The sequence below is a fragment of the Homo sapiens genome, chromosome 1, assembly GCF_000001405.40.
Source record: "Homo sapiens chromosome 1, GRCh38.p14 Primary Assembly".
Taxonomy (NCBI): domain Eukaryota; kingdom Metazoa; phylum Chordata; class Mammalia; order Primates; family Hominidae; genus Homo; species Homo sapiens.
The window spans coordinates 198,276,213-198,298,750 of NC_000001.11; the positions used below are offsets into that span (position 1 = coordinate 198,276,213).

Consider the following 22,538-nt stretch of genomic DNA (forward strand, 5'->3'; position numbering starts at 1 on the left):
TTCTTTTTTATAATGGTATTTAAAAAGTAAACTGCCAACTACATTATAATTATGATGATTTCAAAATCCGTATTAAAGCATAAAAATTTGTTTTCATGGTCTGATACACACATGATATGTTATATTTATTTTTGAATGAAAAGAAACCTGGTCCCCATCTTCCTGTTGACATCAAACAGTCCTCTGATATGCTAATCCAGCATCAGGGAGAGCACATATACAGGGTTTATTTGGACTCATTCCAAGTCTGAAAGAAAATTATGTGTAAAGAACTGATTTTGTAGCATTGCCCCCTTTGAATGAAAACTGATGTTGACACAGTCTGCAATTAAAAAGACTTAGTATTGAAACATGATATGGGAGGTTTCTAACATTTTAGTAAGACCCTGATTTGCTTTTTAATTACCTGGTCATCTAATTGTTATTTATTCTTTGGGATGTAATGTTACTGATATAATAACTATTGAAATTGCTAATAAATTTATTTCTGTAATATGTGTTATAAGAAAGATTAAACTAAGATTATTAGCTTTTCCTTAAAGATTTATCTTTTGGTACATACCTTGAGTACATATGAGACAGTAGATATAATTTTTTGCTAAGTATGAAGTAAGGATATCAGCAGATTTCCTTGTACTGTTTTTCCATTCAGCCTGCCCTCAGCTGGTCACAGGTGTAAAAACTGAAAGGTAGCTGTTTTAGAATTTTCTCAAGTATAGTTCCTCCATATTCAATAACAAAAAATCAATTTAGTTGGACTTCTCAAAATGTCTTTGGATAAATTGCATTAAAGTACATATTTAAATTTTAATACCTATATATATTTTAAAACAGTTAAAATTATTAGAAAATTTTATGGAAACCTATTACAATGCAATATTCATGTTGGTCATTTATAGGTATTGTTAAATGGGAAACCAGTTGCATTTTGTTTTTGAAAAATAATTTTTATGTGTTGAATCTTTGTAAGTCTTATGAAGCTAAGAACTTTGTCCTTGAAGTAGTATATTATTAGTATAGTCTTCTAGCAGATTTATTGTAGAAAAAATGAGCATAAATAAGTACCTCTGGTTTTACAATTATTGTAGTATTTGCCCTCTTATGTGCCAGGACCCCTCTCCTAAGTAGCCTATTGGTGCTGTCAGCTTTTTGCCTGGGCATTCCTGTAAGGTTTTTCTTCCATGGAGTTTAGTTTCATTCATTCAAAGCAAAGTACAAGTTTGACTTGCATTGTGCAGTAGAAATATTCATGAAAACTTTCTACATAAATTCCTTTTATTTGTTTAATTTTTAATAAATTATGATATTTCAAATCACCAGGGTGGTTCAATATTTAAAAGGAATTCTGTAGTGAAACCTTCTGCCAGGAGAAGAATTGTCTTTTAATGAACATAATTACCTACTGGTATCTAGACTTTTTTATTCTGGCTCTTCTTAAAATCAAATTTGACATCTTCCTTTTAAGACAAGAAATTGTTTTATATAGATGTTAATTTTTTGAAATAGTGGGACATCACAAAAAGGTACTGTTACACAGTTTCCGCTAACCTTAGTTATAATAGGAAAAAAACTTAAGCCATTATGTCAGATAAAATTATTGGAATAATTTCAGTATAAAGATCATATGCTTTTTAGTTGATAATGGTAGATAAAATTAGCTGTTTTTCTGACTTACGGATTTTTGCTTACCAGAATCCAGTCTTGAGAAATTTTAGTTTTTATAGTTCTTATTTTTAATTTTCAAAAAGCATTTTAAGAAGCAAAAGAGGCTAATTCCTGAAAGAACTGTTTGGAAGTATTTTGTTCAGCTTTGCAGTGCATTGGAACACATGCATTCTCGAAGAGTCATGCATAGAGGTAAGATAAAATCATTAAGTACTTTTAATCTTGTTTTAAATGATGTAAGTTCTTCAAAGTAAATGTCTTCAAGTCAGTACATAATACCATACTTTTTCAGGTAATTATTTTCAAATTATAATTATGCTAGAATGTTAAACCTTTAAATAAAGCACTACTAGGTTTTAAATAAGAATGTAAATTAATCTGCTTGACTCTTTTGAGCATCTTACTAACCAGTAAGATGCTGTTGGTAAAGATAAGACAGCAATCAAATATATATAAGGAAGAGTTTTTTGTTTCTTCAAATAAACAATGTATATCATAACCACTTAGATTTTTAATATTCAGTATTAGCTCAGCATTCTTTTCATTCAAGTGGTTGAGCAGAGTGTGTTAACATTACATCAATAAGTAATTGATCCGCTGATACTGAAGTGTGAAAAATTTTAATACAATTCATTTATGCAATTAAGATTTTTAAAGCCATCTAAGTAAATAAATATGTGCCTTATAGTGTTGTCGTGGTTTTATATTTTATGCAAATCTACCAGTAAGTTAATTTTTATTAAGATATTTTATTTAAAATTGATATCAAAAGGACACGTGTATTTTGTGCTTTGAATTTCACAGGTTTTTTGAAAATGGAAAACAAAATGCATTTGAAATAGAAATTAATAATCATGTTCATCATGCTACATTGATGATTAGCTGTCTAGCAGAGAATCGAGAACTCCTAGGTATTAGGATATATCAGAATTATTCAAAATAAACTAATTGGTTCATAAATCAAACTTTCATGATTAAAATAAATTTTAAATTCTGTCACGAAAAGTAGTTGTTAATTCCTTTAAAATTTCTAAAATGTCTATCATCTTTTACCTGATCCCTTCATTTATTCACAGATATAAAACCAGCTAATGTGTTCATTACAGCCACTGGGGTGGTAAAACTTGGAGATCTTGGGCTTGGCCGGTTTTTCAGCTCAAAAACCACAGCTGCACATTCTTTAGGTAAGAGACACAATATAATTTCATTCAGTTACTTTGTGTATGTGTGATTAAAAGATAAGAGGTATACCAATTACATGCCAGCTCTTACATTCTTAATAAAACTATTTTAAAAATCACCAGGTCCTGAACAGATGCCTGCAACTCTCTATTAGGTATAAGGTTTCCTCTAATATGACAGTTGGATACTTCTGTTAACTTGACCTCAGGCAGACACTGAGTTAAAAAAAAAAATGCTGATAAGTCTGGTTTAACTATTGCCATAGAAAAGTCCTTTTATTGTACATTTAATAATAGATAATATGGTGATTAAGCTGTCTCTTGGAAGAAGACTTCACCTGACCATTTAAAAATACAATAGTAGTTTGTAAATTTTTATTTATTAAAATAAAGTATATGGCTGTGAGTGTTATTGTTTAGAATTAATAGAAATTACTAAAGGAGATCATTTTTAAATTGAGTAACTTAAAAGGAGTGATAGGGCTTATCTTAAAACTCCTCAAATTATATATTCTCCTTGTAAATACAGGACTTAGATCAAATGGTGACAATCAGAATTAAGTAAAAGTTATGTTAAAAATAAGTTTGCTTAAATTTAATGGTGCTCATCTTTGGTGTCATAATTTCATAGAAAGCCTTTTTTTTAATAAAATTGTTTTGAGATATGAAATAAAAACCTTTTAAATGGCCTGATGAGGAACAAATGAGTTATACTAAATAACAAAATAGTGAAATGAGCATCTGAATTAGTTGACTAGAGATTTTAAGTTTTTCTGGCTTTGTTACCTAAGGTTCCGTGTGGCCTTGAACCTGTCATCGAATTTTTCTATATTTCTAAAACAGTACCTAAAACGTAAGTAGGTACTCAATTAATATTTGCTGAATTACAAAATATTGTATCCTAATTTCAAGAGTGTTAGAAAGATAATGCTTTGCATTTTTAACAGGATTTCAATTTTGTCAAATATTTTGAGAAAATGAAATTTCACAGTGATGCTGAATAACATAGTTTTTTTCTCCTTTCACTTCACATTTATTTTCATAGAGCGTTATAATTTTTCCTGAATAAAGAAATTTGACATGAAATTCCATAAGAAATGGATAAGTTTGCCCAGCACTTTAATAAAGTTTTATTGGGGAAGTTACAGTACATGCAATACAAAGAGTGGAGGAGTTCTATAGAGAAAACCTTGGACTGTTCCAAGCCAGGGCCATTTATCACTAGTAGATAGCATGTTTTCACTTTATATTACTCATCTGAATAGAAGAATGTCATAAAAGCATTCTGTCACTAGTTTAGTTAGAAATGCCAGGCTACAATTACACACACACACCTGCACATGCCCCTGCTCATGCACACACGTGTGTTGTTTACATGCTGCTTTGCAGACTGTCTCTGAGCCTGCTGTAGTTATCCAGTCTGAAGGATCCAGCATTATTATATGAAACCCACTTCTTAACCATTTTGTTTGGTTTACCTGATACTGCCTCTTGTAAAAGTTCTAAACAGAATTTAAGAACATATATGCATCTCCAAATTGAGGTGATATGCTAGTAGAAATTATAGAGTAAAATTAATTTGAATAGATTTAATAATTCATTATGAATTTCTCATACCAAGTTTTATCAAAATCAACTTACCTAGGGTCATGTAATTATATATATGTAATATATATACATTATGTATATTTATATAATATATATTGTTTTATATATATAATGTGTGTATATATACACATTATAAATAAACATATGCTCATGCCCATAATTACTAAGCATTCTAAGACATACCTGAAATACAGCAGTGAAAAAATAGAAATGAGACTGTTTTCTTAACAGATGAATCATAGAATATAATTTTTTCACAAGTATTTTTTGTTTTACATATTATTTTGAGAAAAAATATATCCTTAAAATAAGAAAATTTCCTTTATCCCTTGTCTTCTCTGTGAACTGAAGATTTTGATTGTTTAAAACTAAAGTTCACTAAGCATAGTGCATTGAATACAAATAATTAAAATTTGGACTCCAGTCTACTAAGGCTCTTTGGACTCCATAAAAATCCTACTTAGAAGAATCAGGAAAAATTCTCTGCTAACATACAATATGTATAAAATAGCAAGGATAGAAATCCTGACAGACATTCTTGATGACAAATTGACCCTAATTTTTACTTTTGGAAAAGTATTACTCTGCTATGTTGTCATATATTTTTAAGAGCAAATTTAAGTTTTCTTCTCAGAGTTGGCACTGAAAAGTAATTGAAAACGTGGTGACCTATGCAAATTTATTTTGCTTATAGAAAACACAGTAGAACTATAGATTTTATTGTATGTTGATTCATTTTTTAATTTTACTGAGGATACAATCTATAGGTCATGATTCATCCATAGAGCAGGTATAAATTTCAGTGAAACTATAAATAAATGAAATCTCTATGTAGTTCATAAAGAAAAATCTGAGTAAGTTTACTTTAAACAAAGTTTGTACTGGAGCCAAATTTCTTTTAACTTTGGAAAGGAGGTATTTTCAGGAATTTAATTTTAAAATGCAAAGATATATAGGATTTTAAAAACATCTTATGCATTTATATTTTCAAAATACATTTTTGTTGAAAAATCAAGATACGATTTTAACTCATTTTAATTCATTAATAGGATCGTGCACTTCCAAAACTATTTTGTATTTAACAGTCCTTAAGAGATTGGCAAGTCTTTGCATTTTCAATTGTCTATTCATTTTGTGTCTCTTATTTGTATCTTTTCATTCCATAATAAATCAACATACAATAAAACCTGTAGTCTGTCTTCTGTAGCAAATAAAGTTGTATAGGTGGCCACATTTCCAATTAGTTTTCAGAACCAATTCTTAAAAGTATGATGACATAGCATAGTAGTAATTCCTTTAATATAAGGATTGAAAATTACAAATACTAAATCTGATATTGCTGCATGTTCAAACTATGTTCAGATCTTCAAAACAGAAAAATATCCTAACAGGTCTTCACTTGTTTTTCTGCTTCCTCCCTGCTACCACCACATACATTGTCTCAAAATATCTCTACTTTCCGTTCCCTCATCCTTACTCAACAATTACTTCACATTTGGACTAAGAGATTACACTCTTTTGTTTCTGATATTTTTCTTCATAATCCATTCTGTGTGTTTCCACTAGAGTTATCTTCCTCAAAGACACTATCTGATTGTGTTACTTTCCTCAAAATCCTCCTTGGTTCCTTGTTGCCTGAAGAATGTCATGCAAGGTCCTTGGCCTGGCATTCAGCGCCCTTTACAGTTTGGTGTCCTCTAGCTTCCCACTCTGATTATTGACTGACTGTATCTCCCCAGTTCATGATGTGCCAGCCATGTTTTTCCTCTTGCTTTCTTGTGAGCATGAGAAAAAGCATGATGCTTTGGGAAGAATTTGGGATTTGCATGCTCTGTAGGACCTTTATCAAGCCATGTATTAACTTTTCTAAAACCCAGTGTCTGGATTTATAAAACTAGAAATGCAGGTAATAACCATCCTATGTTGTCCCTTAACTCCTAAACAGTCCCTGACCAAATAATATAATGAATGCAAGTGTTTTCTTAACACTGTAATGAACTGTATAAATGTTCAATTGCTTGTGGTGGTGGTGAAGTGATGAAGATGCAGAGAAAGAAAGGGGGAAGTGGAAAAGGAGTTCTCCAGGTACAATTTATTTATTCTGCCTGAACTGATTGATTCAAAAAATAGTTTTCATACCTGTTATATGCAGGTGCTATTCTAGAGACAAGGAATGTAGCCTGAGCAAGACAAGTCCATGTCCTCAGGGAGCTTACCTTATGGTGGGAGGAAATAGATAATAAAGCAAACAAAAAACTAGGATGAATTATTAGTGATATGACAGAAAATGGCCAGTTGGGGAACTAATTTGGAGAGAGTGAGGTGGGGCAAGTCCCTTCTGAGAAGGTGATATTTAAACTGAGATGTAAAGGATATAAAAGAGGCAGCTATGAAATAATGTCCCAGGTAGACTGAAGAGCATTTCATACAAAAGGTGGATACAGGATAAGCTCTGTCTGCTGGAACTGAGTGAAGAAAAGACAGGGCTGGATGTAGGAGCAATTCACATTTTATTCTAAGTGCAGTGGCAAGCTTTCCCAAGGTTAAATATAATGAGAGCGATGTGATATGGGTTGAAGACAGCAGCCACGAGCCTCCTTCGTTCTTCTTTGGGCTAAGCATGCCCAGGGTAGTCTCCTATCTTCAGGGTCTTCTGTGTCCTGCGAGTCTGCATCTTTTCCTCTCAGAGTACCCTTAGTATGTGCTACCCAGAACTGAGCAGAGTACACCACATTGGAACTCATTAGCCCATAGAGCAGAATGTTTACACTGCCTGTGGTCTGTGATCTAAACGGTTGTTTGGTTTTTTTTGGTCTCCTTATCCTCCTCCCACCTTCACTTTTGTTTTTACACGAAGTTATGTTAGGGAAGATTTTCAATTGTTGTTTTTGTATTAATTTGTATGGAGGTGTGGCTAGGGAGACTAATTGTAGGATATTTTGACATAAGTGTAGGACACTTATGAATTTTGCCTTATTATTTGTCAATCTTATAAAAATATATGTTAAGAAACTTATCTATATCTACATCTTTAAAATTTATGATGAGGGCACAACTTTCTTAAGCTTTCTAATAGTATAGGTCAGTGGCTTTCAAATTTCTTGACAATGATGGAACTGCATTACATTCTGATATTGTCTGTTCTATGTTATTTCACTAGAAATCACACTGGTTACAGCCCACTAAATTGATTTCACAACTCGTTAATGGGTTGTATGACCCACAATTTGGAAAACAGTGGTCTAGGTCTGCAGCGCCTTCATGCTGTTTCATTTACTTAAAGGCTAATTCCCATTTTCTACCTACTTTTGGACATTCTCCAGACTTGTTATCTGGCCTGTTGAATTGGTCAATCATAAATTACTCATTTACACAGCTTCTTGTGCTTCTGGAGGGGTATAATAACATTTATCATAGTTCTTTACAGTTTGCAAATCATTCAACTCTCTAAAATCCTTACACATACATGTGAGCTATGCACATGAGCTGTTCGTATTCTAAAGTTGAGAAAACGAAGCAGAGAAAGGTAAACAGCTAGAAGATAGTGAATAGGTCTGTGGCTTCCTAGTCTGGGTTTACTCTAGCATGAAGTCTGTTTTTTCATTATGTCAGTTCCTTGTGACATTTTTTCTTTCTTTATACTGTTTTCTGATTTGTTGTTATTAGATCTAGAAATACTATATTCGGCTTTGTTACATTGCTTAGGAGCCTACATATGAAGACATAGTTTGCTCTCTCTCCTAGAATTGACTACTCTTGCTGCTCCAAGATTCAGAAGTAAACAGGAAATAGGCCGCTAGGATATCAAAATCTGTCTTCATGGCCATCTGTCCACCCTTAACTTTAGCTGATATTTCTAAAGAAGTGGCTATTTTATACTGAAAGCTAAAATTTCACCAAAACTTGTGAAATTGGAACACGGCAATCAAGTAATAAATTTTCTCGTATCGTAAGAGGCAAAATGTACTTTTGGTATATTTCTGTTTCTTAAGTTACTCTGAGGTCTCCTTTCAGCAAATAAAAACATTCTGAACCAGAGGCAGCTTACTAAGAGATAAGTATCTTAATCATTGAATATTTAAACATATAAACAGAGTACCAGAACAATTTTATATATTCCAAATATATACTATTTCTAGGCAAATCATATCAAACTTCCCTTATTTCCTATAATAGTGACCCAGGAGAATCCTCTGTTGCTACTAAATATTAACAATAACAGTAATGGCAATGAATACGAGTACTGTATAGCATTTAAAAATTTCTGAGCATTTTAAAGCACGTTTTCTCCTCTGTTCCTCAGTGTTGTGGGTACAGTAAGTTACAGATGAGAAAACTGAGATCACTCTATTTAAAACTGAACCTGACTGCCCCCGCTTCACTCCCACTCCACCCCTAGAACTCCTAAACCTTACCCTATTTTATTTTTTCTTTTTTCCTTAGGACTTAGTATCTTCTGACATGCCGTGTAATTTACTTATTATGCTTTGTATGTATTGTCTCTCCCAGCGAAATGTAAGTTTTATGAGGACAGAGATCTTTGTGTATTTGGTTCCCTCATGTATCCTAGATACCTAGAAGAGGGGATTGCTCGTAATAGATACTCAATAAATATTGATTAAATGAATGAAGCTTAGAGACAGACTACATACATAAAGGGTGAATTTGACTAAGTGTATCAGTAAGTATAGGTTAGATTATGCTGCAAGAAGAAACAATACAAAAAAGCCTCAATTGCTTAGCAATGAAGTATGTTCTAATCTTTTGTCACCCACAGTGAGTTGTAGACGCTTGTTGGTCTTTAAGGTAGCTGACGTCCCTTCATGTGGTGACTTGGCATTCCAGGCAGCTTCAGTCTTGTGTTATATTCATATCAACATACGTTTTTGTGATCCCATGAGGGGAAGAGAGCATGGAGAATCACTTACTGGCTCTTAATTAAGCCCTTCTGCTTGAATGTAAAAGATTACTTCCATTCACATTTCATTGGCCAAAACAGATCTCATGGCAATGAGTATCTCAAAGGGACAGGGAAATGTAATTCTCCTATTTGTTCAGGAAGAGGAGAATCAGAAATAATGAATATGAGTATTGTTCATGGCTTTGAGATAGAGGAAAAATACCTAATTTCAGTTTTTTTAAAAATACTGCTTGTATCCTTTTTCTACTTGTTTATTTTTGTGACATATTTGTAGCTATTGCAACCAAAGGGTAATTAACTCTCTTAATGGGAATGGGTGGTAGTGGTGAATGAAGAGTGAGCCGTTAGGAAATTTACATCTTTCTAAATTGGAAAATTCTAAGCAGAGAGATTATCTTTAAATCCAGAAAGATTCATGAGGTTCACTGGAGTATTGATCCCTGGTGACTTTTCTCTGGATCAATAAATCTGCAGTTATCCCTGCTGGACTTGCTTTTGATAAGAGCTTATTTTGGTCAATTTAAAACATTTATAATAAAAAATAGTTACTTATCAAGCTTCAAATACTCATATGGACTAAGTGCCATGTAGCACATTAACTGATTTCTATTCTACATCTCTTTGAGATAGGTATGATTATCAAGTTTAGATTTCTGTCAGTGACCAAGCCAGAGTTCATTTAAATTACAAAGGACCATAATTTAAACCTGTATACATTGCCTTATTAACCATATTATTCTTCTTTTGGCAAATGTATTGGCTTCTCCTGCTCCGCCACCCCTGACAAAAAAGAACACCATCCCAAAATGATCCAGTGAGCTTTTAGAGGTCACACTTTTTTTTTTTTTTTGAACCATATGCATTTTTCTCTTACCCCCTCGGTCCTTATGTAATTCTTGGTGTGAGGTAGGTCCATACCACATAGAATTGAGTGTTTCATTCTCCCACTCAATGCATGAATCATTAACACGTTTGTATTTATTTTCAATTGCTGCCCTAACACATTACCAAAAACTTAGTGGCTTAAAACAACAGAAACGTATTATTTTTCTGTTCTGTAGGTCAGAAGTCCAATATGACTCTAACCAGGCTAACATCAAGGTATCTGTAGGATTGCAGGACTTCTGGAGGTTCAGTCCATTTCTTGTCTATTCAGATTATGGCAGAATTCAGTTTTTTGGTTTTGTAGGACTGACGTTCTTGTTTCCTCACTGGCTGTGAGCTGAGGGCCATTCCCAGCTTCTAGAGGCTGCCCTCATTCCTTGGCTCCTGGCTTCCTTCCTCCCTTTTAAAAGTTAGCAGTGGTGGAGAGTCCCTCTCACACTTTGAATCTCCCCTGCCCCTTCTGTTGCATCTCTTACTGATAATCTAGGGTAATCTTCCTATTATGAAGTCCTCAACCTTTATGGCTGCAAAGTCTCTTGCCACTACCGTAACATAAACAGGTATAGCACCAAGAGGCGAAGATCATGGAGGCAAAATTTCTGCCTGTAACGCCATTTTAATAGACTAATTTAATAGACATTTTAATGGACGCGACAGCTAGGGAGACATTCATATCCTCCTCTAAAGCATAATTAGGTGAAATTGTTTAAAAGCTAGAGAGGTTCTAGGCTGGGTGCGGTGGCTCACACCTGTAATCCCGGCACTTTGGGAGGCCGAAGCGGGTGGATCACGAGGTCAGGAGATTGAGACCATCCTGGCTAACACGGTGAAACCCCATCTCTACTAAAAATACAAAAAAATAGCTGAGTGTGGATCACGCCACTGCACTCCAGCCTGGGCAACAGAGCAAGACTCTGTCTCAATACAAAAACAAAAACAAACAAAAAAAAGCTAGAGAGGTTCTGTGGAAGAGGTTCCAAAATTAGAGGAAGTTTACATTTACTGAAAATAAATATTTCTTTTTTGAAGAGATATTTTGACTTTAGATTTTCACATTTTTATTATAGGTCTTTATAGGTACTTTATTGCATTGTAATTTACATTTACTTTTCAAGGGAGAAAATGCCACACTTGGCTTAATAAAAATTTATAAACAAATCATTTTCTTTCATTGTTAGCTTACTGCATGTTTGTGTGTGAGTTTACTTGTATGTGCTTGTTGTACATCCTAAAAATGAGACAGATTTTTGCTTTAAAAAAAAAAAAGCTAACTAAAACTCTCTGATATTGATCCTTGTGCTAAACAAATATTTGAAACCTCTTGGGAGGAAATTATGTTCTTGTTTTTGTTTTTGTTATAGGATTGCTTGAACTGCTGTTTACCTTTCTCAGTGAGACAAATGGTTCTTTGATTTTGTAATATTGCCAGCAGAGTAAATGCATGGCCATCATTCAAGCTCGATATCAGAATTTTCACACTAGAGTCTCTTGAGTGTACAATTCGTGTTGCCCACACTATTTCCAAGTGTGATATATCCTCTGATTTCAACTTAGAAAATTAGTGTTCTTGAACCAGGCATTAAAACAGTTTCATTTTTGGTGCCAGGTGCCACCTGTGGTCACATACTTGTTTTTCCCACACCTTTCCTAGCACCTCTAGATAGATCTTTGGCTTATTCCCCTTCGTTGTTCAGGGTGGTTGAGAGCTGTAAAGGCAGCATATGTTCAGTCAGTACTATAGGCTGCTTTCACTGATTTATTTTTAACTTTCAATCCCTTCTTAAGTAATTGCTCTGGTAAGGAGCTATTATCTAATTTTAAACGGTGTACCTTTAACCTCCCAGCCGCCATAACAGGTATTTATTTAAATCAGCGTAGCTGCAGAGTAGCATAATTTTCACATGTGGCCCATTGAACCTGGACCCTTATTCCTGGTTTTTCTTATGTACATGCTGTGACTTTTAGAAGATTTCTCTGCTTCTTAATTTGGAAAGATACAGATATTTTTTTCAGTTGTATTTCACAGTGGTCAGTTATAATGAAATAACCATCTGCTTAAATGCAAGAGACAAGAACTACTTAGGTTTGAATTCCAGGTCTACAGCTTACCAGTTTTATGATCTTTGGCAAGTTACCTGACCAACTTCCCTATGCCTTCTCTCTAAAGCAGTATAATAATTGAAACATCTTATAAAACTACCTTATAATAGTCCCCGTTTTCACTGGACTGTGAGCCCCACAAGATCAAGGATTTGTCCTGTTTACTTCTGTCACCACAGGACCTAGAATTGTGTATGCCATGCAACAGGGCATGGTAAACTTTTGTTAAAATTCAGCAAGATAATACATAGGATGCATTGAACACAGGGCCTGGAGCACAGCAACAATAACAATAAAATATGCTTAGGTGTTTTTCCTCAGCATTATTAAAGCTCTTAAATGTTATCGGTTGCACTTCAAAGATGACAAATTTTATTTTATAAATGTCTTTTGCAGAAGAAATATTGATCTCCTACTCAGCCATTCTATATTGACCTCAGTTAATACTACTAACAATGAAATAAATTTGGCCTCTCTCCATTCTGTCTGCCAACATAATTTCTGGGCTGACTCATGAGTATGAAGGAAAGAATGGAAATTAAGTCCTATTCCCTGAAGTTGTGTGTGTGTGTGTGTGTGTGTGTGTGTGTGTGTGTTTATATCGAACTGAGGTGTAAGATGACTTGTCTCCTTTTAATTTTCCCAGCAAGGAATATTCAAAGCTTTCTTTTCTGTAGTTTGCTCTGATTCTAGGAGAAAGAAACTATATTTCTAAACTCAGTTCGTTTGTTTGTACTCTCCGACTTAAAACACTCTCACTCAGCTGTCCTAAGTAATAGTTTAAAAAGGACAATTTTTTTTTCCATTTTGTTTTCCAGATGGATTTTTGTAGAGTTTCTGTAAGTGGTACAGAATTTTAAAGCAAAAGGGACCTCAGAGATCAGCTCATCTTTCTCATTTTATCTTACAGATGAGGGAAGGAAATAAAAAGAGAAGTTAAATGGTCCTAACTAGTTAGTGGCAAATGTAAGATGTGAAAGAGATTTATCTTTCACTGGTTTTGTGCTGCCTCCCTTGTTTAAAAAACACACAAAAAAGCAATCCAAAGCTAACTGCATGTGAGGATGCTTCAGTCGTTGTTTTCTTTTTTCATTCAAATTTTTGCAGAGATTACAGTGCTAAATTGTTAGCTAAACTATTCTGTATATAACCTGCTCTGATGAAAATTATCAATTTAGTGATATCTTCCATAATAGCAACATGTTAGCAGAACTTGTTGGTTCACTTAAACATATTGCAGAACTTCTAAATATCAGTCTTCATTTTATTCAGGATAAAGATTAGAATATATTTATTGTTTATGGAGTATATACCATATAAAACTTTTCTCATATAGCTAGAATAAGTCAATGTAATGAAAGGGATTTTTACATATGGATGACTGTCTTAGTATATTTTAATGTAATATTCATATAGAATAAAGAAAGGTCAGGTAAGATTTTTAGTTGTTACCAGTTTTCCTCTAATGTCAGCCTCTGTTTTTTATAATGTTATCATCCATTTCCTACTTTTATTCATGTCCGAAGGTTAAAGTGGCATAAGTATCTGCTATTGCAAAATGTACTTTCATTTTACCTACAATCATAAATTCTTGAAAGATAAGTGGAATTACATGTGCTGTAGTCTTCAAGCTTCTCAATACATAGGACAGTAATTCGCATGATCATTTTAATGTCTAATCATATCACTCCATAACTCTCTTTTCTTGTACAGCTGTTAAAAGAAGTCACAACATTCTTGAGGCAACAGTAATCGTAGACACAGCTGTCATGAATCTCTGAAAAAGGTTTTTGGAAATAATTATATCTTCATTAATTTTGAAATGTTGAAAACATATCACTGCATTTAAATGTACTGCAAATTTTCCTGAGCACTTAAACTTTTAGGCCTCTCTGCTAGATAGAGAGAGGTAAGGACTAATCAGTTTACGTGATGGGGCTGAACCTCTTTGCTCAGTGTCAGTCAGCGTGAGTCCTTGTCCAGAACGGAGGGGCATATGAAGAAGCGTGTCAGGAGACAGTAGACCTCCCTCTTAGGCCTGTGTTCCCTAGTGAATTATGAATTTATCCTATTAATAATTATAGTGCAGAATACAAAGTTACTCATCTTATATAATGACTGTTGGAAATTTGTTGATCAAAGAGGTGAGTAGCATCCTTAGCTTTACATTTTAATATATACTAACGAATATATGTAGTTTAAATATTGAAATAAAACATGCTTATTTAATATAAAGAGGCTTGTTATTTATATTAAGAATCAGTATCTAAATTTAAAGTATCAGTGTTAACTGAGTGTGTAACTTTTTGCAGTGACCTCCAGCAGCTCACTGAAAAAGGATTTTTGTACATTAACATTTTTTACATTTTAAGTTTAGCTTAGTAGAATTCCTAATCATTCTTTTCCTCTGCTCCCTTCACTTGGGTCGTCCTTGAGTTCAGTTTGTGTTGCAGTTAAGGTGTTATGCTGGGGCTAATCTCTGTAAAATGCTAGCATTTGTTCTTCTTTTTCCTTATCATCAATCTTTCACACTCATATCAAACCCCTAATGTACAGCAGGTTTCCCAGAGCTACTGGTTAAAATTACCTTTGCTTTTGGTAAACTCTGAACCTTCAAGCCTCAGTGTTTTCAGTTGCCCCCCTGTGGATTCTGTGAAGCCTCTCTCTGCACATTCCTCACTGCCAGTCACTTGCTTTATGTCCTGAAACCAGGAGCAGAGCCTGTTTATTATTCCAACTGTACCTACCATCCTTCCTTAAATGGAGAGAATGTGTGAATATTTCCAATAATTGGTGTCACTTATGCAAACTACAGGTGAAAGTAGTTAGAACTCCCAAAGCTAGATAGCTTGTGTTTATTTTACACAGTAATAATACAGATTCTTTAAACCTAGCTGTTTTCCAAAGTTCTTTGCTTTTCTGACACTATAGAAATTGGCGTATTTACCTGTTTGTCTTCAAAGTAAATGCTACAATTAAATAATTTATGTCTTAAAGTTTGTCTCATTAATTTTTGTATATTAATAGTTCGTATTTTATTTAAGTTTCTTATCCTTCTGTTTGCATACTTTTTTTTTTAACGTTTCTTCATCACTTTCATAAATACTTTTCTTTCATCCAGTCTGACTAGGGCTATCCATGATTAGTAAAAACGGATTCCGATACAGGTAGGATATCATGGGTCATGGTACATGATGTTTTCACCTTTAGCTTAGTATAGTTTCCACACATAACTATTAGGTTATAACTTTATTCTTTTGGCAAACTGACTCCTGCCTTTGAGTATAGTGCTTTGATTATTGGTGTGAATCTTTTTGTTGCTTCTGACTAAAGACCCCTATTCAGTCTTGTTAGTCTTATTTAAGATTTATAGTAAACACCTGGGGAGGTCTTGAAAATTAATAGAAAAAGGAAAATGCCCTTTTCTTTTTGAGTAGCAACATATTTTTGGTAGCCCTTCCCTCAGGTAAATAAGATTCTAAATATTCTTAAACTTTGACTTTCTATTTGGCAAAAAGCCTTAGACTAATGATGATGAAATAGCCATCTGAGTTTGAAATTAAAGATACTCACTTTGAAAGTCACTTAAATATTTTTACACTTCAAAGTGTAACATATATGCTTTTGTTTATTTTCAAGTGTTTAATAGCATCTTCTAAAACAGTCATTAAAAAAAGAAAAAGTATTAGCACATCAAAGCAAGCAATTAAAACAAAAATTATCTTGAGTGTCTTGTCTCTAAAAAGGTCTCAGTAGTAACAATAACTCAAGACATTTTTCCAGAGATGCCAGTGCCCTTTCACATTTGTTATTATATAATCCTTTGATGTACAAAAGTCTGTGGTATTCTTTCTAAAGTGGAAGTAAGGCATCAAGTGTTATATCATTTGTTAACAGCCACGCTGTGTTCTAAAGGATGTTTCTGTAAAAGTTAACAAATATGATTTATTTACTCATACTCTACTAAATTGTTATATTATTTATTTTTAAATAAATTATCATGCTTAATTATTTGGGATATTCAAGCCATATTTTTTTAAAAAAATAAAGCCAACATGAATCATTTAAGTAGGTATTCTTGGCAGAATTACTTTTTTTCCCTTAGTTATGCTCCGTTGATTCTTCTTGGATTGATCAAAAGGAAATAAAGTTTAACCCACCACATTGTTTAGTGCAGTTGTTAGTGTACTATTTAAGGGTCAAGGAATAAAGAAGAAATTAAAAAGTTTTTAGTATTCTCAAAAACAGCTTTCGATCCTAATGAATTATTTTGGTGATGTTTTTAAATTCAAAATTTTGTATGTAGTTTCTGACCACAGCTGTATCTTTATTTTTATATACCTCTTACTTTATTTGGTTTGTTTTTTTGCAGTTGGTACGCCTTATTACATGTCTCCAGAGAGAATACATGAAAATGGATACAACTTCAAATCTGACATCTGGTCTCTTGGCTGTCTACTATATGAGGTAGGTAATGTTGATAAATTCCAAATATTGATGCAGTTTTACTTAGTATATTTCCTCTATCCTTATAGTATATACTTACTTTTTTCTGGATGTTTAAGAATCACCTTTTTAATTGTGAAGAATTTTCGTTGGGTTAATAACTTTGTATAATGGAATTTAATAACTATACATTCCTACACATCTAATATATTTTTAAATTGTGTTCTTTTGATGAGAAGTTTATTTTTAAAGCATTAACTTTTATGTTAATATAACGCCTTTCTCTATATCTTGCATTTGTAAAAATATACGTTTGAACATCTGTAAATCTTGATCCATGCATTACAGGAGTGGCATAATGGATTGGATTTAATATATGAAAGTATAGTAAATATTTTTATCAATATTTTATTTCACTTTTACACAGGTGTAATTTAGCATTAAGGATAGTATGCAAACAGATAGTTCTTCTAGGTTATCAATTTAGTTTCCATGAGTAACAATTTGTATTGGTAAAGCTCAGTGAAATACTCTCTCTTTTGTTCTACTGGTGATCATTTATCAAAGGAAGATGGAATCATGTAGGTAGGTCCTCTAGAAATGTTGCACTGTAATAATTTGGGTGGATAAAAGAAAGCATGTTAGTAACACATTTTACATCTGTGTTGGTATAAAAGTATCTCAAGCTAGTGACTTCTGTAATTTTGTTTTTTTAATTGAATGATAATTTTCCTAGGAATATAGGCTTCGAGTCAAAGCTGTTAATTAAAAATTAGTCTATATCTAAGTAGGTTTTAATAAAGTGAGGAAATGTAATACATGGAAGCATTTTCATATCCCTGTGTAGGAATCATTTTCATATCTCTGTGTATATGAGAGAAGTCTAAAGAGGATAAATAGAAACCAATGCATTTCCTACTATATATATTTCCTGTCTCTTGTCCTCCAGAATTAAATGAAATATATGATGAAATCATCTATTTTAATTGTACCACCATTACTTGGAAGTAGAGCATTAGGAGGTGTTTTTTGACTCTTTAAAAATGTATGTCATGATCTTTTATTATTTTATTCATTGCAGATTCAAATTTCCTTAATTTAAGGAACCTGAAATTATTTGTTTTGTCCTTCCTACTAAAGTGACTAACAACTACTTAAAATGAAAGGATTTTTAAATATTCTTAAATAAACTCATACTTTGGATAATTTTTGTTATGAAAAATTATGAGTCAGTAATGTAACAAAACATGTTTTTATATGTGCACGAGATTACAAGAAATTACGCTCACTGTGTTATATTTTGTTAATAATTTGGTACAATCCTAAAAAGAACTGGATTGTTTATATTGTTACTATAATGTTTAAAAGTTAGTCACTCTGTACATTTAAAATATTTTATATTTGTTTAGTTAACCTTAGATTCCTTTAGGCCATAGTCTAATATTATCAAAGCAACATATTCTCTTCAAATCCCTAAAAGTAAACAGCAAATTGGTTTCCAATAACTAGATTAAATTTAGCAATAAAAAAGAAAAAGTTCTGTTGAGGTAGTAAGTGGTTTTTGAGAGGAAGTTTGCATAATTCTTTTAGATTTAGCATACTCATGTCAAAACTGAAATAATTTATCACATTTTGAATTTGCCTTTGAGAGACGGTGTCCCATTTTTGTATGGACTTAAAATGCCACAAAAATAAAAATAACATCTTTGGACATTTCTACATCCATGAGTTATATGTATTGTGGATGATTTTGAGTTAAAGTATTATCATGCTAATGTTAGTTTTCATCTCAACGCATTTTCTTGATTTCTCCATGCAAATCTTTTAGAAGAACTAGAATTTTTCTAAAGCTTTAATTTAAATTTATGTTCTATTTCCTTTCAGTTGTGTTTCAATGTACTGTTAATAGAAATAGCTAACAGTTTGGCTTTTAAAAATTGGTCATAACATCACGTATTTTGTATTGTACCCACTAAAAAATTACTATTAACAATGAAGACGTAGGAAGCCTTTTTTGAAAATGTATTTTAAACTCAGAAAATTAGACTTTCAAATATTCCTGAAACCTCAAAAAAAAAAAAAAACTAGCAGTACAGTTTTAATTGATATGCAACAAAGTAGACTTTACTAATTAAAATCAAGATGCTGTGCTTTTGCTACACGGACCTTTACATGGAAAAGTAGGTTTTACACATTTCCTTTATTGTTCAGCGCAGCAATTGCATCCTTACAGGGTTGTAGGTTGGTGGCTTACAGTTCAAAAAAAAAGAGAGCTGCCACCAGCCCCGAAGACAGACAGTGGGCTTTCGTCCCTCCGACACCCCCAGAATACTAATCAGGAAAGTCAGACCCTGGAGGTCAGGGAGTAAGTCAATCATTCTAGCGATCGTCTCAGTGTGGAGGATCAAATTAGCCTGAAAAATTCAGCTGCTGGGAGGAGAGGGCGAGCAGCTGTCAGGGGCAGCATCGAGATGCACTAATGAACCAGATGAATAGTGCAAAAGCTTGAAAATAAAAACAGGACAGTTGACATTTTTCATCTGTCAAAGCAGGAGATGCATGAAAATATACTATTCCTGTTTAACTCCTTAGGGGACATTCAGATTTTTTTTTTTTTTAACACTCTGCAGTACTGAGAAAAAGGACTATAATGAACGCCTAGAATATGATAATGAATATATGTACATTTACTTAAGGTTTTGCAAACACGGAGAGACTATAGTTTATATATACAGTGTATTTTTAAGGTAAGATCTTAAAGTGTCCTTGCATTTAAAACAAAAACCACTATTATTATTATTATTATTATTATTATTATTATTGTGGTTCTTTTAGAAATTTCCTCTCAGAGTGTTTTATATGATTAGGGGCATTCAGATTGTTTTTAACTTTTTTCTCGTCATGTGAAACAACTCTTCCTAAGGTACTTCTATATAGTTGTGTGCACGTTTTATGTAAAACATAGGCAAGATAAAAATGTGTTGAGCTACTTTCCAGTTTTGATTTCCAATCCCATCCCCTTCTCATCAAGGCTCTGAAGGAGTTAAAGCTCTGTCTGGAGCACAGAAGACAGATGAGAGCCATTTTCAGCTTGTCCTGTCCCCACTGACGCTCACTGAGTAGCACAGCATGGACTAGCGTGTTTCACACACACTCTGCCTGTCTGGGGAATGTACACATTGTCCTTCCAAAATCAAACTTATTAGCACATGTAGAAAAGGGTGACTGACTTTGGGGCAGCCTGGCACTCCGTGTTGTATTCTTGCTGCTGTGGTTCAAAGATTTAGAAGGTTTTGAACAGGATGCGAACATTTTAAATTGAATTTTTAGTTTGTAACACTGCTTACCACAGTACTTGCTTGCACTTTAAATGTCAAGTTAGAACCTTGTCTTAAAATAAATTTAAATTCGATAATGTCTTTTTTAAAGTTGTTCATCCTTTGGGTCGTGTTTTTCTGCATAAAAATCTCATTTGGAAGCCTTGAATTACAGCTATGACTCATAGAGCTTTTGAACATATTTAATTTAATGTTTTTGAGACATTATCAAAAGAGTTCTAATTCATTGTAAACTATTTGGGGATCAGTTATTGCATTTAAATTGAAAAGACTGCTTTTTCTCAGAATAACCTTTATCTTCAGAAACTATTATGCAAGAGAAAATGCTCTGCATTCTCTTCCCTATGCTAGATTATAATTCAGTTTTAACTTCAGTTTCATGTTTGTTCTGTATGGTTGAGCTACACCTTGTGATGACTGTTTTGTTGTGAGATATAGTAGTTGTTTTTGTGTCATTATAGGTACAAAGAGTTTTTAAATTATGTGTTATTTTTCTTTATTGTTTTATGTTGCATTTGTATATAAAGAAATATGCTAATTCTCTATTTTAGGGAATTTTAAATGTTGGAAAAAAAATAACCAAAAGTTGCAGTAAGATTTTTAACTCTTAATAAATTTCCTCAGAAGGGGATATTCATAAAAATCAAAATGCCCAGGTATCTCTATTTAAAATATTTGTGATTATTTTCTACCCCCGTATAATATACTTGATGAAATCACCTTTTAAGTTACCATCTAACTATATCAGTTTCATTGGGGGCATTTTACAGATGGCTGCATTACAAAGTCCTTTCTATGGTGACAAAATGAATTTATACTCACTGTGTAAGAAGATAGAACAGTGTGACTACCCACCTCTTCCTTCAGATCACTATTCAGAAGAAGTAAGTCATTTTCAGCCCACATGTTCTTCTGTTGTCCATTTTGCTAACATTTTTATTTTACCAAGAAATTTTACTTTATCCAAAAATGAAAATGAATGGTATAGGTAGCAGAACTAGCACTTTTTAATTCTGTTTTCATTCTCTTGGAGACTTGCTGTCTAAAGAGTTGACTCTGCAATTGATAATGTGTAGTGCAACACAACACAGCATGTGGTGTAAAATTGGCCACTTTCTAGGTGTGATAAGAATAGTAGCTGACTCTACAGTGTACTGAATCGTGCAAAGGGCAGAATTAATGCTCATACTTAGGCTCTAGTTAATCATCATGTCTGATGGCCCTTCCTAACAGGGCTAACTCCTTATTCTCACAGTCCCAGACCAGACCAGCACACAGTTGTAATTTTCTATTTTGGCAGAACTTCCCTTTCGTCCATGTTTTCCAAAACTCGAAACACGCATCTCTTAACTACATATCTCTGAGCCTTATTATTTAAGCTTTACCTTCTCTCCTTTGACAATACCTGTCCTATCATCACCTCACTGCTATACTCAGATTCTACTGGGGAAATGTTTCGAGGTTATCATTGTAGACATGTTTAAAAAGTGTGTTAGTTGTGGCTGAAAATCTTAGAAGGCTACCTTATTAAGATCTGAGTCTGAATGCTTGCTTGCTTGCTTTGGTAACCCATTGAAGTGAGTTGTTTTGGCTCTACCCTATGTCCAGTCTTTCATTGAACAAAACATCTCCCATTTTAGCCTAACGTATCATCATTTTACGAATATTTAAGGAGGATGTATGCAGAATAGCAGTATCTCAGGTCAACTAAAATGTTTCATATTAGCTCTTTATGGAATACTCATCAGGGACCTACCCAGAGAAAATAGTGTGTTGAGTTAGGACATCGCACCTTCTCATGAGCAACAGATTTTTTGCCTCAGGAAAATGGAAAGGAGAAAAGGAAAAATATAAAACAATTATAATGTTCACTTATTAGGTAATCATGTCAGTCTTTCTATTGTGAAACGAATAGCATAGGGTCTTAGTATTATGTAAGGAAATTTGAGTTCGTGTAACTTGAATAATAAATATCTCTAAAGAATTTTCACCACATGTAAAGCATTTGTGTTCCTAGAATATAATAGGCACTTTTTCTTCTGGTAGTTTTGATACTGATAATCAGTGATGCCTGTTTTTTTCTGCATAGCATTTGTATTCAGGTAATTAGAATAAACTGTTACAGAGCAGTGATGATAATTTAAAAGTATTATCTTTATTTGATGTTAATACTATTATGTTAGCCATTTTTAATTACTATTTTGGGTATAGACTATAAATATGGCATTTCACAAAACCAACTTCAGAACTATAGGCCTGGAAATACAGTGGGGTGTGAACAATAATGCAAAATGATAGCAAGAATGTCAGGGGCCTTTCTTTGTTGTGTCATTCATGCTGTCTTCTTTTTTCCATGAAGCGCATGAATATTTCACATATCTGCATCCTCATCCC

The 22,538-nt window shown here is 33.2% G+C and overlaps 1 protein-coding gene across 17 annotated transcripts in view, besides 1 other annotated feature; it reads left to right on the forward strand.

Moving 5' to 3' along the window:
* NEK7 (NIMA related kinase 7) overlaps window positions 1-22,538 on the forward strand; it is a 165,423-nt gene that overhangs the window by 119,215 nt on the left and 23,670 nt on the right. For 4 of the 17 annotated variants that reach the window (XM_047446560.1, XM_017000345.2, XM_017000344.2 and 1 more), the window contains 4 exons: window positions 1,725-1,857; window positions 2,742-2,849; window positions 16,733-16,827; window positions 20,915-21,028. The exons of 3 other annotated variants lie outside the window; for them this stretch is intronic. In XM_047446560.1, coding sequence (XP_047302516.1) covers window positions 1,725-1,857; window positions 2,742-2,849; window positions 16,733-16,827; window positions 20,915-21,028 — 450 coding nt within the window. 10 more of the 17 variants (XM_047446563.1, XM_047446562.1, NM_133494.3 and 7 more) reach the window with 5 other exon arrangements.
* Window positions 18,220-20,400: an enhancer, noted in NCBI's record as "VISTA enhancer hs1322". NCBI's record gives its function as "enhancer in: hindbrain (rhombencephalon)[9/9] | midbrain (mesencephalon)[6/9] | dorsal root ganglion[6/9] | forebrain[5/9] | branchial arch[5/9]" and the evidence as "EXISTENCE:transgenic organism evidence [ECO:0001131][PMID:17130149]".